The sequence below is a fragment of the Homo sapiens genome, chromosome 7 (assembly GCF_000001405.40).
Source record: "Homo sapiens chromosome 7, GRCh38.p14 Primary Assembly".
NCBI classification, from domain to species: Eukaryota; Metazoa; Chordata; class Mammalia; order Primates; family Hominidae; genus Homo; species Homo sapiens.
The window spans coordinates 9,860,329-9,876,588 of record NC_000007.14 but is presented as its reverse complement, the minus strand read 5'-3'; the positions used below and the strand labels follow the sequence as shown (position 1 = coordinate 9,876,588).

The following is a 16,260-nucleotide window of genomic DNA, read 5'->3' as shown; positions in this document are numbered from 1 at the left end:
TTAGACAGAATATACTCACTAATGTGTAGAAATTTTTCTGCAGCACACCAAGACGCCAACATGGCACATGTATACATATGTAACAAACCTGCACGTTGTGCACATGTACACTAGAACTTAAAGTATATATATATATAAAGAGAATCAAAAGAATATGAGCTTGTACTATAGCAGTAATTGGATATTCAAAGTCAGAAATGGATTGAAAAACATTGAAGAGATAGTAAGACTGTTTGCAGAACTAGAATGAGTGGTTGTGACCATGAGAAATTGTGATTTATTGCAGAGACTGTGCTATTTACTTAGAGATAGGTAATAGAAATCAGAGAGTAAAATTGGCAACAAGAGATGATGGGTAAAGTTGGTAAAATCAATACTGGGTGTACAAAATTTGGGCTCTGTTACTCTGAAAGTTTGTTGTCAAAAGCCTACCTACTGTCTGTAGGCAGTGTAAAGATTCCCTAAAATGTTCAGATCCTAATCCCCTAGAATCTGTCACTCTATTAAGTTAGATGGCAAAGAGAACCAAAGCTATAGATGGGATTCAGATTATGTATCACCTGACCTTAAAATAGGCAGGTTATCCTGATCCTGGGTTGTTATCCAGATGGGCCTAATTTAATCACTTAAGTCCTTAAAAGTAGTAGCGGAAGGCAGAAAGATGGATCTGAGAGATGCAATATGAGAAGGACTTGACTCCCCCTCACCTTCTTGCTAACTTTGAAGATGGAAGAAGGGGGTCACAAATGCCGGTAGCCGCTAGAAGCTGGGAAGAGCCTTCAGCTTACATGCAGCAAAAAATGGTAACCTTGGTCCTACAGCTGCAAGGTACTGAATTCTGCTAACAACCTGAAAGAGTACTAAAGATATTCTCTCCCCTAGAGCCTCCAGATAGGAACACAACCCTGCCAATACCTTTATCTTAGTCCAGTGAGACTCATGCCTACTAGGTTTTTTGATCTTCTGAATTGTAAAGTAATGAATTTGTTGTTTCAAGCCATTTTGTTTGTTGTCATTTGTTATGGAAGCATAGAAAATAAATGGACAAGAAAAGTTAACCAAAAAAAATCAGAATAAGATGTAATCACGTATACATTCACTCTCAGAACCACTTTCTTTTTGTATATGTACATATTTCATTTCAGCCATTGTCCATACACTTTTACCCATACACTTAAAATAATTTTCAGTCAAAAACTACTTATATTTTTGGAGAGGTACTTATTTTTTAGTATAAAATAAATAAGGTTCAATGGGAATGGTGTGGACCTTCCTGGAGATGCAATGTTGGCATGTGGGCAGTACAATCCCAGTGGCAGGACTGCCCAGAGAGCTTATCCAGGAAGATTTTTTTTTTGTTTGTCTCTTAGTTTTATTGGTTCATTTGTTTACGTAAGGCAATTTTTAGCAAAGAAAAGTTGGTGAATATTAACAAATATAAACAATAACTACCATGAAGTGATTACTTGTCATTTAGGAACTGGGCTATGCACTTTACATAAATAAGCTCATTTCTTCCCTCTAATATCAGATCTGGTCTTAGCCACTTTGGGGTCTGTTTTCCTTACAAGTATAGGAAAAAACCAAATTTAGAGCCGGGAAAGACATTTTTATTTGGTAAGTTTTATTTATTTATTTATTTATTATTATTATTTTACCACAATATTCTTGCATGTCCAGGGAGGATTTGAGGTGAAGTTACCCTGGATGGAATAATAATAACTCAGTTGAACCTCATTTGAGTCTAAGTTAGTCATAACTGTAGTGTGGTTCTGCACTGAAGTTCATTCTCATTGAAATGTTAACTTCAACTCTCTCCAGTTTGAGATTATTGGAGATAGAAAAGTCTTCTATGTATGTGTAATTATGGTAAATGATTATTGTAAATTGTGCCCATTTATTTTGAGTTGCAGCTTTAATATTAATGATAAACCTGTAACCTATTTTCACAAAACACTCATCTATTATTATTGTCAAAACTGCTCATTCCCTTTCAATGTTTCTGTCCTTCTGGCACTATGTTATTTTTCATCTCTTAAGTGATCTTGACAAACAGTAGGCAAGAAAAACACCTTCCAGATTCACTAAATTAAAAAAATTGGTTAGTTCCCTTTAATAATTGTGTTGTTCTGAATACATGTAATGATGAAAAATCCTCAGTTAAACATTTACTTTCCCAGGTGAACTATTCACTGTTACATTTTAAAAACAGGTACTATCTAAGCAAAATTGCAGATGGAAAATTTTTATCTGTTACAATGACTTCTTCATTAAATGGGACCTGTAAGAGTTTGTTCTTTTTTAAAAATATAAAATTTTAAAAAATGATCACTTTCGGAGCAAATAAAACAAGTACTAAAGGGGATATGTAGACAAACATTTTAAATGCAAGAGTCTGATATTTGGTAAAACAGAAAGTACTTCATTATCAGCAAAGTACGTGAATGTATCCTGAGTGCCTATAAATAGCAAAACAAATTATTGTGACCTGCTAAAACTAATGAATAAAATAAGAACATTGTAAAAATACAATATAGCAAGATAGAGCCAGGTTGCCAATATTCCAAGGCAATTGCCAGGGTCTCAAGGGCCTACGGATAGATTATTAGGGAATGCGTACTGAAAACAGGAGAAGGCACCCGACTGAAGATATCCTTATCTCCTCTTCCAGGTACATACGTTTTGCATTTTGGATTGTAATGGTTTTCTGAAACTTGAAAATCCAGGAATTACTGGTACATTTCTGCCTTTCCCACTTCACTGTTCACATGAAGCTATATTGCACAGAATTATTTATATCGAATGTTATGAGAGGTTAATAGGATGATATGTCAGAATAAAAGTGGGCTGAGGACAACTTGTGAAGTTGATTCCACACCTACAGGTACATTGAAATGACGTGAAAACCGTCATAAAAATTCTAATCCTTGGGCTTCACTGCTTACCTATTGAGTCTGAATAATATGAGCTGGTTCTTTGCAATATTTATACAATTTCCTAGGTGATTCCTATTTTTTACTCATTTTCTATTTATTTTTAGGCCACTTTAGATAAACGGCAAATGGTTCTTTTTTAGACTCTAAAGCAAGGAAGGGATATCAATAACTTCCTTCAGTAAGCTGTTTAAAAATTAACACCACTATATCTATGTATTCTAATGTGCATTTTTCATAAGAAATCTGAACTGATCTATTTTTCTGCCCTTTGTAGCTATGGAAAATAATTTACTACAATGCACCTTTTGGTGTCTTTCAAAGACTTATTTTAGGTCTACTGATTCTCCCAGACTAAAGCAGAAATGAAAACAAAAGGCAAACTAACTAGTTGAACCTTTCTATTAGGGTCTATTTTCCAAGCCATCTTTTTTACTCACTTTAGAATGTTACTCATAGAGCAAAAACACATACTGATTCTCTAGTTGAATAATTAAAATTTTTACATACACTTTTATATTTAATGTCTACATTCAGGCTTATTTCATATCTTTTAATAAGATTCAGAACAGGGCTCTATAGAGGTTATACCATGAATATCTAAACTGTTGAGCATTTTGTAGGAAGAAAAAAATAGCTGACTAAAAGAGACCCACTTGAGAAGCTTCTTCAGAAGTCATGAGGATGTGCCACACTGGAACTATTTTTAACTTTCTTGGCCTATGAATACCCCAAAATATCCTGACCTTGACGTATCACCAACATTTCATTAAAGAAACAGCATGTTAGTGAGCGGTGAAGCTGGCTGGGCTTCTGGGTCGGGTGGGGACTTGGAGAACTTTTCTGTCTAGCTAAAGGATTGTAAACACACCAATCAGCGCTCTGTATCTAGCTAAAGGTTTATAAACGCACCAATCAGCACTCTGTAAAAACGCACCAATCAGCACTCTGTAAAATGGACCAATCAGCGCTCTGTAAAATGGACCAGTCAGCAGGACATGAGCCAGGCCAAATAAGGGAATAAAAGCTGGCCACCGAGCCAGCAGCAGCAATCCGCTGGGGTCCCCTTCCACGCTGTGGAAGCGTTGTTCTTTCGCTCTTTGCAATAAATCTTGATGCTGCTCACTCTTTGGGTCTGCACTACCTTTATGAGCTGTAACACTCACCGGGAAGGTCTGCAGCTTCACTCCTGAAGTCAGCGAGAACATGAACCCACCGGGAGGAACGAGCCACCTTTAAGAGCTATAACACTCACTGCGAAGGTCTGTGGCTTCACTCCTAAAGTCAGCAAGACCACAAACCCACCAGAAGGAAGAAACTCCGGACACATCTGAACATCTGAAGGAACAAGCTCCGGACACACCATCTTTAAGAACTGTAACACTCACCAGAAGGGTCCACGACTTCATTCTTGAAGTCAGCGAGACCAAGAACCCACTGGAAGGAACCAATTCCAGATACATTAGGACCTCTGTCTAAATATGTAGAAAGAAATTTATGCTTCCAAAAGAAAAATGGGCTGGGCGCGGTGGCTCAAGCCTGTAATCCCAGGACTTTGGGAGGCCGAGGCGGGCAGATCACGAGGTCAGGAGATCCAGACCATCCTGGCTAACAGTGAAACCCCGTCTCTACTAAAAACAGAAAAAATTAGCCGGGCGTGGTGGCGGGCGCCTGTAGTCCCAGCTACTCAGGAGGCTGAGGCAGGAGAATGGCATGAACCTGGGAGGCGGAGCTTGCAGTGAGCCAAGATCGCACCACTGCACTCCAGCCTGGATGACAGAGCGAGACTCCGTCTCAAAAAGAAAAAAAAAAAGAAAAATGTATATGCACTGTTGGGAGGACACTGATTCAAGTTATCTGATTCAAGTCTTTCATTATCTCTTGAGTGATTTTTTTACTTTTTTAAGTTGTATGTCATTGACAGGCATGTAAATTCTATCCTGGCTGGTGGAGGTTCAGTTGTCTTCCTCCTACGAAGAGGAAAAACTACTTTTCTCTCATATGCATTTGCATTTTAATATTCCTGATCTATAATTGTTTCCATTTTCAGATTCTCTTTTGAACCATTGGTAACATCTGCCTGCTTCCCTCATGAGTTAAATACAATCTTTAACATATGTTCTTTTTATATGGGAGTTACAATTTAGCCTTTTTCTGAAAGTTCTCTCTTAACATACATTATCTAATGTGAATTGTGTATATTTTAAGTTTTACTGACACTAATTAGATAACTCGGTGTCAAATATCTGAAGGCTTCCATTGTCTAACTTTTAGAGGCCAACCTATAATAAATATATATTGCATATTTGATTTGCTTTGTAAAAGGACAAAAAGAAGCTTGAATTACAAATGGCACAAAGGGCATTTGTAATTAGGTTTTGATACAAGCAAATTAACTACTTGGGGATGTTATTTAGTCATGGAGTTCATTGGAATTATACTTTATTTTATGTCTACTCTTTGATCTCCTGTTTCTTGTCATGTCTCTTCAAAACGTTCACTCTGCCCCTCAAGCTCTGAACTTGAATGCCCCCTTTCATGCTTAGCAAAAAATTGCTTCTCTCTTCATAAAAAAAAAAATGCTGTTAGCTATAGTGTTTCTGATAATCGTAACAGGCTTAAATATAAGTATTATTCTTCAAATATAGATAAACAAGGGGAAATTGGGAGATGTTAACTTATTCAAAGCCTGCATGGATTCCACCACAGCTTCCATGGGCAAGAGGTTATACTAGCTGTGCAATTGTTTGCTACGGCTGCCGTAACAACCTGCCACAAACTGAGTTGCTTAAACAACAGAAATTGATTTTCTCATATTTCCAGAAACTGGAAACCAAAGAACTAGGTGTCGGCAGGTTCCCTTTCTCCTGATGCTTCTCTCCTTGGGTTGCAAGTGGCTGCCTTTCCACTGTGTCCTCATGGGGTCTTTTCTCTTGGTGATTCTCCAGTGTCTTCATATCCTTATGACAACAGTCAGATTGGATCAGAGCCCATCCTAATGGGCTCCTCTTAACTTAGTTACCTCTTTAAAGGTCCTGTCTTCTGAGGTACAGGGGTTAGAATCTCAGCATATAAATTTTGAGGGCAAATAATTCAGTCCATAGTACTCTGACTCTCCTATCCTATACCCCAGTTAAAAGCAATTAGGGTAGTCTTGTTTCTAACGGTAACACCCAAATGAAACTGCTCAGTTAGCTCTCAACAATAAAATTTTTATTTAATACTTTGTATTTTCAAAAAAATACATTTACAAAAGAGTTGAAATATAGTAGAGATGTCTCTTATACCTTATTCCCCACTTTCCTAAAGGTTGATATACCTATAGTATAATTACTAAAATAAATACTTAGTAATTTGGTAAATATTCTAATATTTGTTTGATAAATATTAAAAGAAATATTTGGAAATAGTATTACCATTGTCATAATACTATTAACTAATCTAAAGACTTTATTCAGATTTCATTCTTTTTCTCCCTAATGTTTCCTTCTTTTCCAGGATGCAAACCCCATGTCTTCAGTTTTCCTCTCCTTATAAAGACATCAGTATAGTCATATGTCACTTAATGACAGGGATACATTCTGAAAATTGCATCACGGAATGAACTTACACAAACCTAGATGGTATAGCCTCCTACACACCTAGGCTATAAGGCATAGCGTGTTGCTTCTAGGTTACAAACCTGTACAGCATGTTACTATACTGAATATTATAGGAAATTGTAACATAATTGTCAGTACTTGTGTATCTAAACATAAAAAAAGAAACAGTCAAAACATAGTATAAAAGATAAACATGGTACTCTTGTGGAGGGAACTTACCGTGAAAGGAGTTTGCAGAACTGGAAGCTGCTCTGAGTGAGTCAGTGTGTGAGTGGTGAGTGAATTAGAATGCCTAGGACACAGTTGTACACTACTGTAGACTTTATAAACACTACACACCAGCTTCACCACAAACACATGGTAATGCATTGCACTATGACTTTACGATGGCTAGGATGGCTCTAGGCAGTGGGAAATTTTCTGCTTTGTTATAATTTTATAGGCCCACCATTGCATATGCAGTCTGTTTTGGTTTGAAATGTTGTTAAGCACCATATGACTGTGATTGGATTTAATGTCTATCCTAAATCCAGGATCTCATATCAAGATACTTAATTATATCTGTTAAGACCCCATTTCAAATAATATCACATTCATAGGTACCTGGGGTTCGAAGATGGGAATAGTTTATGGGGGGATAAATCAACCTAGAGTTGCCATTGTTTGCTTTCTGGTTAATAAATACCTTGGGGGAGTCTTTTTGGGACTTTGTATCTTGTTTCTCCACAGACTTTTAACCCACTAATTTTAGTAGCCATCAACTTAATCTTCTCTGAGACAAATATTTCTATGGTGTTCTGTTGGTGATTTTCTGTTTCTTTCATTTTGCTTATAGTCATTAATCAGTATCCTTCTGCAATAAAATACTGTCTTTGCTTATTTATCTTTCTGTCATTCATCTACTTATATCTATCAATCAGCTATTTATTTATATCAGGATTGTGATTGCCTAATTTTATAAATGAAGATACAGAACACCCAGTTAGATTTTAATTTCAGCCAAGCAGCAAATAAATTTTAGTATAAGTATGTCCCATGTATATTTGAAATATACTTTCATACATTGTTTAGCTGCAATTAAAATTTGTGTGTCTTATATTTTAACTGGCAACTTCATTCAGAATAGACACATAGGTATATGTTTTACTTTATAGATTGTAATCCAATACAATCATTACTTATTTTGTTGTTTAGTTATTTCCAGTTTTGGCCAATGGGGGTTCTTTCAGATTGATTTCTACTATGCCTCCGTTATTTTGGATAACTTTTCTATTTTGGAAGCACCACAGAATGTTCTAGGCTCAACTTGTGTTTTCAGTGCTACAGCTCTGAAATCAACAGCTTCTTCAAAGGCTCTGAGCTCTTTTCATTGAAGAATGTTATTGCAGAACTAAGATCTGAGGTGGAGATGTGTTGTTTGCTATTGTGGTTTCTCTGTTGCCAGGCCCTCTCAGCAGTCAAAGCTTGAAAATATATCTAGAGAGAGAAAATTTTGACCTGTGCAGATACATACATATGGAGATTTATTTCTGAGCTGTCTATCTGTGTAGGCAGAAGAAAGGCCTCCTAAAGATGTCTACATCCTAATAACCAGACTTTTGTGAACATGTTACCATATGTGGCAAAAGAGACTTATGTGATATGTTAGGGATCTTGAGTGGGGAGGGATTATCTGGGTAGACCTAATGTAATCAAAAGGGTTTTTATAAATGAAGACAGGGGAAGGAAAGGTCAGAATTGAAGAGAAATTTGAATATGCTATGCTGATGGCTTTGAAAATGGGGGAAGGGAGCCACAAGCCAAGGAATGCAGACAGCCTTTGGAAGCTGAAACAGGCAAGCAAGTTAGATTTTCTCCTAGATCTTCTAAAAGAAAATGCAGCCCTGCAAACACCTTGATATTAACCCAGCCCTTTTGGACTTATGACCTTCAGAACTATAAAATAACAAATCATTGTTGTCATAACCTGCTACATTTATGCTAATTTCATATGGCAGTAATGGGAAACTGCTATACTATCTGTATCAATAATTTAAAACCATGAGATCGCACTGCTTCCTCCAATTTCAATCCAGCAACACAGAATTCATTCTTTTCTTCTGTCTTATTTGTAACCTCTTTCTTCAACAATGAGAAGGCTAGCTATCATTATCTACAGCATATTTATATGTTCAATTTAATATACATATAACTTAGTTCCATAATTTCTAACCCATACCTGTGTAAGAAGCACATTTGCTAATTACAGTACAGACTTGATGTGTAGTACATTTTATATTTTAGCTTTATAACCTGGAGTCAAATACTGCAAAGAAATTTCCCTTTACATTGAAAATTTGGCTGTTTGACACAAGAGGCCTAGCTTTCAGTCAGTCTCATCTTTCCTTCCTCAATAAGTTTAATCATTTTTAGCTTTTGATTGAAAGTGAGGGATGTGTGACTCTTCCTTTCATATGAACACTTAGAGGTCATGGTAGTTTTATTAATTGGCCTTATTTCAATATTTTTGTGGCTCAGGGACACAGAGACACAAAGTAAGCACATGTGGTTTTAAGAATGATGCCAATAGACTTTCTTGATCAGGGTTGTCAGAAATCTTCAATTTTGTTTTAAAAAAGAAATATCTGCCAAATACAATAAATTAACATAAAATAAAGCAAAATATAGCCTATACAGTTTGTACTGTGGGTTACGGCTGCAACATATGAATTCTGGGCAGGATACAATTCTGTTCATAAACATATCTCTGTGAACCTGGGCGTCTCAATGGTTAAATGACAGCAGAGCTCCCTTCAAATCCATGTTGAACTTGATGATGGGCAAAAAACAAACTCTTATGTTAGAAGTATTTTTAAAACATCTCATACACTGGACAGTTGATAAAGTTGCTGATAAACAATTTAAATGCTATTCTTGTAGAGTTTGCATGTCATTTGATAAACACTTATAATACAGCCCAGCAAAGAACACTAAGCAATGACAAAATTTATAATGGAAATGCACATTTCACAGTAAAAACCAGGTAATATCTGGAAATAAACTGTTTGCTCACTAATGAAGTGAAGCCTTAAAAATTAAAGAAAATTCAGAAGAAAGACGGTAAGGATGGTTGACACTTCATTGTCACTGATTACAGATGTAATGGTGAAGTTGAGATGATGATCAGAGTCTTACTTCAGACAAATCATGAGTCTCAGAGGAAGTGATGACAGAGATGTCTGTGGAAACTATTGAAGAGGAAGGCTTTGCTAAATCTTCATGGAGGTAATGGGCACTTAAGATAAAAACGTTGCAAAATGGGACTTTGACTTAATTCTCGTTAAGTGCAGTTATAAGCTTTTTATCTTGTGCTAAAACAATATCGAATTTTTTTTTAAGGAAAGCTCAGTGTCACACCGGATGCGACCCTGAGATGCCAGTCCTATGGCCAGCCACATCCACAATACAACAGCTTTTTGCTGATATTCAGTATGGTTTACAAAATGTGTGACCGTGGTACAGATGTACTTAAAATGTAGTAAGATTTACCCCAAATTTTGCTTAAAAATGGTGTATCGTGTTTTACAGAGATAAATATAAAATTTACCTCTATAAATAATGACTGAAAAACATTATAATAAAAGAAAAATGTATTATATGAAGTTTCAATATCGAAAGCCAGAAGACATTCTTTTTAGAAAACACTAGCTGGAAAGATCTTCCGATCTTCCTTGGGGTATGCCTTTATTCCCCTATTGTTGGATACTAAGCTTGTTTATATTATTTCATTATTTTCAGTAATATATCAGTGAATATATTTGAGGGGAGATTTTCCTATAATTTGAAGTATTTGTTTAATATTTCACTAGAATGGAATTATTGTGCTTTGTTAAAAAGCATTCTTAGTGTTTTTTTTTTTTTTCAAATAAGTTTAAATTTCTTTCCTGAAGCTTGTATAATGAGACATCCCGTAAGGCCTAGCAGGAAAAACTGCCAATTTCAAAATCATAAGCATTTTATACCATCCAAAAAATGTTTGGAATTTACCTTTTGGAGCTAAGGGCTTCTTTATACTGGGAAAATCACTTTATCAGGTTGTTTAATGAAACAGATTTAAAGTAAGTACCCTGTATTGTCCTTGGAAAAGTTAGAGGGGTTTGAAGGTAAACCAAATGGGCAATTTATAAATATGTTAAGTGTTGTGCTTCATGATAGAAATAGACGCAAATTTATGAAGTACTTAAGACTCTTTAGATTACATAAAACAAATTATGTTATTTTTGTTAATCTGAATTTGAGCTGTCCTATGCCAAAGAACTATTGCTTATTCTTACAAGATGTGCTACATACGGACAGAAGACTGTGAGAGGTACTGGACTACTGCAATGGGAGGTGGGTCAGTATGATGTTCTCTTCCCCCAACACAGAAGATATTACTAGGGCTAAATAGCATGTGTCTGAGACTGTAAATGTACACGTGTGATTTAACACTCTATTACTCGCACTCTTGAAAACTATACCTTCTGGCTATAGTAACTGTCCACTGTGGATCAAGGAGTCAGTTATTTCTTTTTGAGTAGAGACCAGGATTTATCCTAAAAATAATGAATATGTTTTCTGCCTACCAGCTTTGGGCAAAAATTAGATGGGTCCTGGATTAGGAAGGGTGGGAGTGGAGTATATTGGAGGGAAATAAAAGAGATTTATCCCTTCTTTGGGACTATTGGGTCAATTTTTCTAAAATCCAAGGCATTGAGTTATTTTAGAGCAGTGATTAATCAAATTAATTAAATAGGCATCCGAATCAGAGAAAGAATCTGCAAAACTCAGAACTTTCTTTTCACAACATAGAGTAAGGCATCTGTATAAGGTTTTGATGGTATCATTTTATACTAATATTAAAAGTGTATAAAGTGTTCATTTAGTTTGTCAGGTTGATTATTTTTATTAAAAAATAGAAAATAAAGCGCTGTCTATTCAACTTTAGAGTTTGAGTCTATTACTTAATGAGTTATTGTAAAAAAAATACACTCTATTTCTCACATGTAGAAAATTAAGAGTAGAATAATATTTGAAAACAATGAAAAATTAGAAGATTAATAAACTATGTCTTAAACATGTAGGGCTCAAAATTCAATTGAATGATCTCTGAGAACTTCTTTTTAAGTTACTCTATTTTAAAGACTACAGCTCACACAGTAGTCATCTGGCTCTTGGTTAATAGTGATTGTAAATGTATCTCCAGAGTCACATAATTCTAGTATTGCTATTTTAGAGTATGCAAAATGATGATTAATATTGAGGATAAAAACATTTCTGTATTGTATGATCTCATATAGTATCACTAACAGATATAGAAACTTAATATTCAATGAAAATCCAAAATGTTTTTGTCAATGCATTTCTTGATGAAGAAAGAAAATAATTTTCACTCTATACTATGATATATTTGTCTGAATGTCTGCTTTTGGAAACAAATAGAGTGAAATGACAAAATATTTAACAATGGGTTAAAACTTAGCCAAAAGATAGTGAATTTTTTTAAGTGAAGCCCTCTCCAGAGCAGGGATTCTCTGCAGTAACTAGAAGTGTTCCTGGATTTGATTCTACACAGCACCATCTTTAGAGTAATAGATCACTGAAGCACCTTTTCCTCATGATGTATATTACTCAAATGCATCATCAACCAGATCAGTGTTTCTAATGATTTATAAGTCCACTAAATCATTAGTGAGGTGCAGCAATGATATAATATTCAAAGATTGTTCCATATGAACAAGAAATATTCACTAACAAATTTTAGAATTTGCAAAACAAAATTAGACACAACAGGAAAAGAACAGTATGCTGAATACTAGTCTCATTTTTAAGAAAATATTGTGTTTGATTGTTTAGTGCTATGTAGTGTGTTATTAGTACAGCAATAGTTACTGACTAATATATTGTTTCCATTTTTATTGTCTTGGTTAATAAGCATATGATAATATTTTAAGGAATGACTATTTGAAATGATTAATAACAAATCTGAATGACTGTGTTATTTAAAAACCACAATAAAAATAATAGAGCTACAACTTCTAATGCTTCTACATCTAGAGAATGTTCATTATAAGCAGTCTTAGAGATCGGAAGTTATAATATTTTGGTGCAACATTTTTTTACATTGGAGAAAAAGCCAGTTTGATGGACTTTTAAGTCTCTTGGTCAGGGAATTCCAGTGTGGAAGCCAATGGGAAATAAAAATAGTTCCCTACTTCCCGAAAGTTGGAGCCAAAGCACTCAGAGCGAAGGCAGCAAGGGTTGCTGCTGCCAGAGTAAACTTGGCTAAAGGATTTCACAGAGCTTCCCAAAAATCTCTTTATAGGTCATCTGGGTAATCTACAAAAGCATACAAAACTACTCTTTCTTCTCAGTCCCTTTATGTCCCAAATAATCAGCTTCCTGAAATGGTGCGTGAGTTCTTACTCCCCAAACTGCACTGCAGATTCATAGACCTTTATAAAAGGTCTTTTACTAAATATTGCTCAACAAATTGATTAACTAAATAGCAAAATTGATCGATCTAGAGTTGTTTATTGACCTTTGTAATTTTCTATAAATGCTTACAATGTTTGTATAAATGTGTGCAAATGTTTATAAAAGTAGATAAAAAGACTTGGAAAAACTGAAAGTCAAAATGAAGACTATACAAAATAATCTTATGGCATTTTGTTGAGAAAAACACAGCTTGGCATATCTTCAAGTGAACAGTATTCTTTTTGACAGATTTTGTTGTTAGTTTTGAAAAGGGTCAAATGATACACTACATAGTGTAAAGAGGAAAGAAAATGGGTAATGTACATGACATGGGAAATCTGGATAAAGTTGTTGCTTTCTGCTATTGATAGTATTATTTATATTAATAGATTTTAAAAATAACATTTATTTTAGGTTCAAAGGTACATGTGCAGGTTTATTATATATGTAAATTGTGTTTCATGGGGGTTTTATGTACAGATTATTTCATCACCCAGATAATAAGCATAGTACCTATTAGGTAGAGTTTCAGTCCTCACACTCCACCCTCAAGCAGGCTCCAGTGTCTGTTGTTCCCTTCTTTTTGTCTATGTGGACTCAATGGTTAGCTCCCACATATAAATGAGAACATGTGCCATTTGGTTTCTGTTTCTGTGTTAGTTTGTTTAGCATAATGGCCTCCAGCTCCATCCATGTTGCTGCAAAGGACATGGTTTTGTTTTTAATGGCTGCATAGTATTCTATGGTGTGTATGTACCACATTGTCTTTATCTAGTCTACCATTGACAGGCATTTAGGTTGATTCCATGTCTTTGTTATTGTGAATAGTGATGCAATGAACATATACGTACGTGTTTCTTCATGGTAGAACAATTTATATTCCTTTGGGTATATGTGCAATAATGGGATTGCTGGGTTGAATGGAAGTGCTATTTTAACTTATTTGAGAAATCACTAAATTGCTTTCCACAATGGCTGAATATTAATAGATTTTTCAATGTTCTTTATAGTTATATGTAAACTGCAACAAATTGAAGTAACTGACTATCTTCTCTATGTTGAGCTGTAACTAGCATTATTAAATTTCATATTTATTAGGAAATTCAGTATTAATGATGCTATAATAGCAGTCTTAATGATGCTATGATAGAAATCACACATGGATTATAAAAGAAAGAAAATCTCTGAAATGGCCTCATAGAGAATGTGAGCTAAGTTCAGATATTTTAGATGCCTGCCAGAGGAACAGGATAGAATAATTTGAGCAAAATTTTAAAAAGCATAAAATAACCTATGTTTTGGCATTCCTAAAGTTTAGAGTGAGAGGAGGAGTAAAAAAAAAATAGTTAGGGGTTAAAAAGTGACCAGGCTATTAATACCCTTATATATTATCTACAGATGGAACGGAACTACTGAAGTTTGAAAAGAAAAAAATCCAATTTATTTTCTAAACTGTTAATTATTCTGGGAACATAATAATTGTATGTATTTATGGAATGTATGTGCTATCTTGATAAAAATCATACTGTGTAATGATCAAAACAGATTAATTAGGATATCCATCACCTCAAACGCTTATCACTTCTTTATCTTAAGAACATTCCAACTCCACTCTTTTAGTTCTTTTAGAATATACAATAAATTATTAAGTATAATTGTCCTATGGTGCTACTGAACACTAGATTTTATCCCTTCTGTCTAACTCTATTTCTGTATCTGTTAAGAATCTCTTCTTTATTTACCCCTCCCCACTACCCTTCCCAATATCTGGTAATCATCATTTACTCTCTACCTCCATGAGTTTATTTGTTTTTAGCACCCACATATGAGTGAGAACAGGCAATATTTGTCTTTCTATCCGTGTCTTATTTCACTTTACATAATGTCTTCTACTTCCATCTATATTGCTGCAAATGAAAGGATTTCATCCTTTATAGCTGAATAATAGTCCACTTTGTATATGTACACATTTTTAAATCCATTCTCCTATTAATGGACACTTAGATTCATTGTGTATCTTGGCTATTGTGAACAGTGCTGCAGTAACATAAGAGTACAACTATCTCTTCTATATCCTGATTTCCTTTCTTTTGGAAATATACCAGCAGAATTGCTGGATCACATATGGTTGACCTATTTTTAGTTTTCTGAGGAACTTCCATACTGTTCTTCATAGTGGCTGCACTGGTTTACATTCCCACCAGCAGTGTATAAATATTTCCCTTTCCCTACTTCCTTGCCAGCATCTGTTGCCTGTCTTTTTGATAAAAGCCACTTTAACTGGGGTGAAATCACGTCTCATATAGTTTTGATTTTTATGTCCTCTAAAGATTGATTTTGAGCATTTTTAATATAAATGTTGGCCATTTATATGTTTTCTTTTGAGAAATATCTATTCCAATATTTTTCTTATTTCTAATTGGGAAATTTGAAATTTGTTTTGTTTTTTGTATTGAGTTATTTGAGCTTCTTATATATTCTGGTTATTAATTCCTTGTCAGATGTGTAGTTTACAGATATTTTCTCCCTTGCTGTGGTTTATCTCTTCACTATGTTGATTGTTTTCTTTGCTGTGCAAAAGGCTTTTTGCTTGATGTGATCCCATTTGTCCATTTTTTCTTTGATTGCCTGTGATTTTGAGATCTTACTCAAGAAATCTTTGTCTAGAACAATGTTCTGAAGTTTTTTCCAAATGTTTTATTCTAGTAGTTTCATAGTTTTAGGTATTAAACTTAAATCTTTAATCCATTTTTATTTGATTTTTATGTATGGCAGGACAGATGAGTCTATTGTATTTTTCTGAATATGGATATCCAATCTTCCCAGTACCATTTATTGAAGAAAATGAACTTTTCTTAATGTATATTCTTGGCACCTTTGTCAAAAGTGAGTTGACTATAAATGTGCAGATTTATTTCTGAGTTCTCTATTCTGTTCCATTGCTCTATGTGTCTGTTTTTATGGCAGTACTATGCTGTTTTTGAGACTATAGCTTTGTAGTATAATTTGAATCAGATAATGTGATGTCTCCAGTTTTGTTCTGTTTGCTCAAGATTGCTTTGGTTTCTGGGTCTTTCGTGATTGCATTTAAATTTCAGGATATCGTTTCTATTTCTGTGAAGGATGTCACTGGTATTTTGATAGGGTTTGCATTATGAATATACATTCACAATGTATATTATTGTTTGGGGAACAATTGAACAATATAGATAAGTCCAAACCATAAACAT

At 34.6% G+C, this 16,260-nt stretch overlaps 1 long non-coding RNA gene across 1 annotated transcript in view; it reads left to right on the top strand.

Annotated features, from left to right (window-relative positions):
• LOC105375147 (uncharacterized) overlaps nt 1–16,260 on the top strand; it is a 172,035-nt gene that overhangs the window by 52,968 nt on the left and 102,807 nt on the right. The window contains exon 2 of the long non-coding RNA XR_927026.2: nt 9,672–9,799. This is a non-coding gene — a long non-coding RNA (uncharacterized LOC105375147). The remainder of the gene's footprint in view (nt 1–9,671; nt 9,800–16,260) is intronic.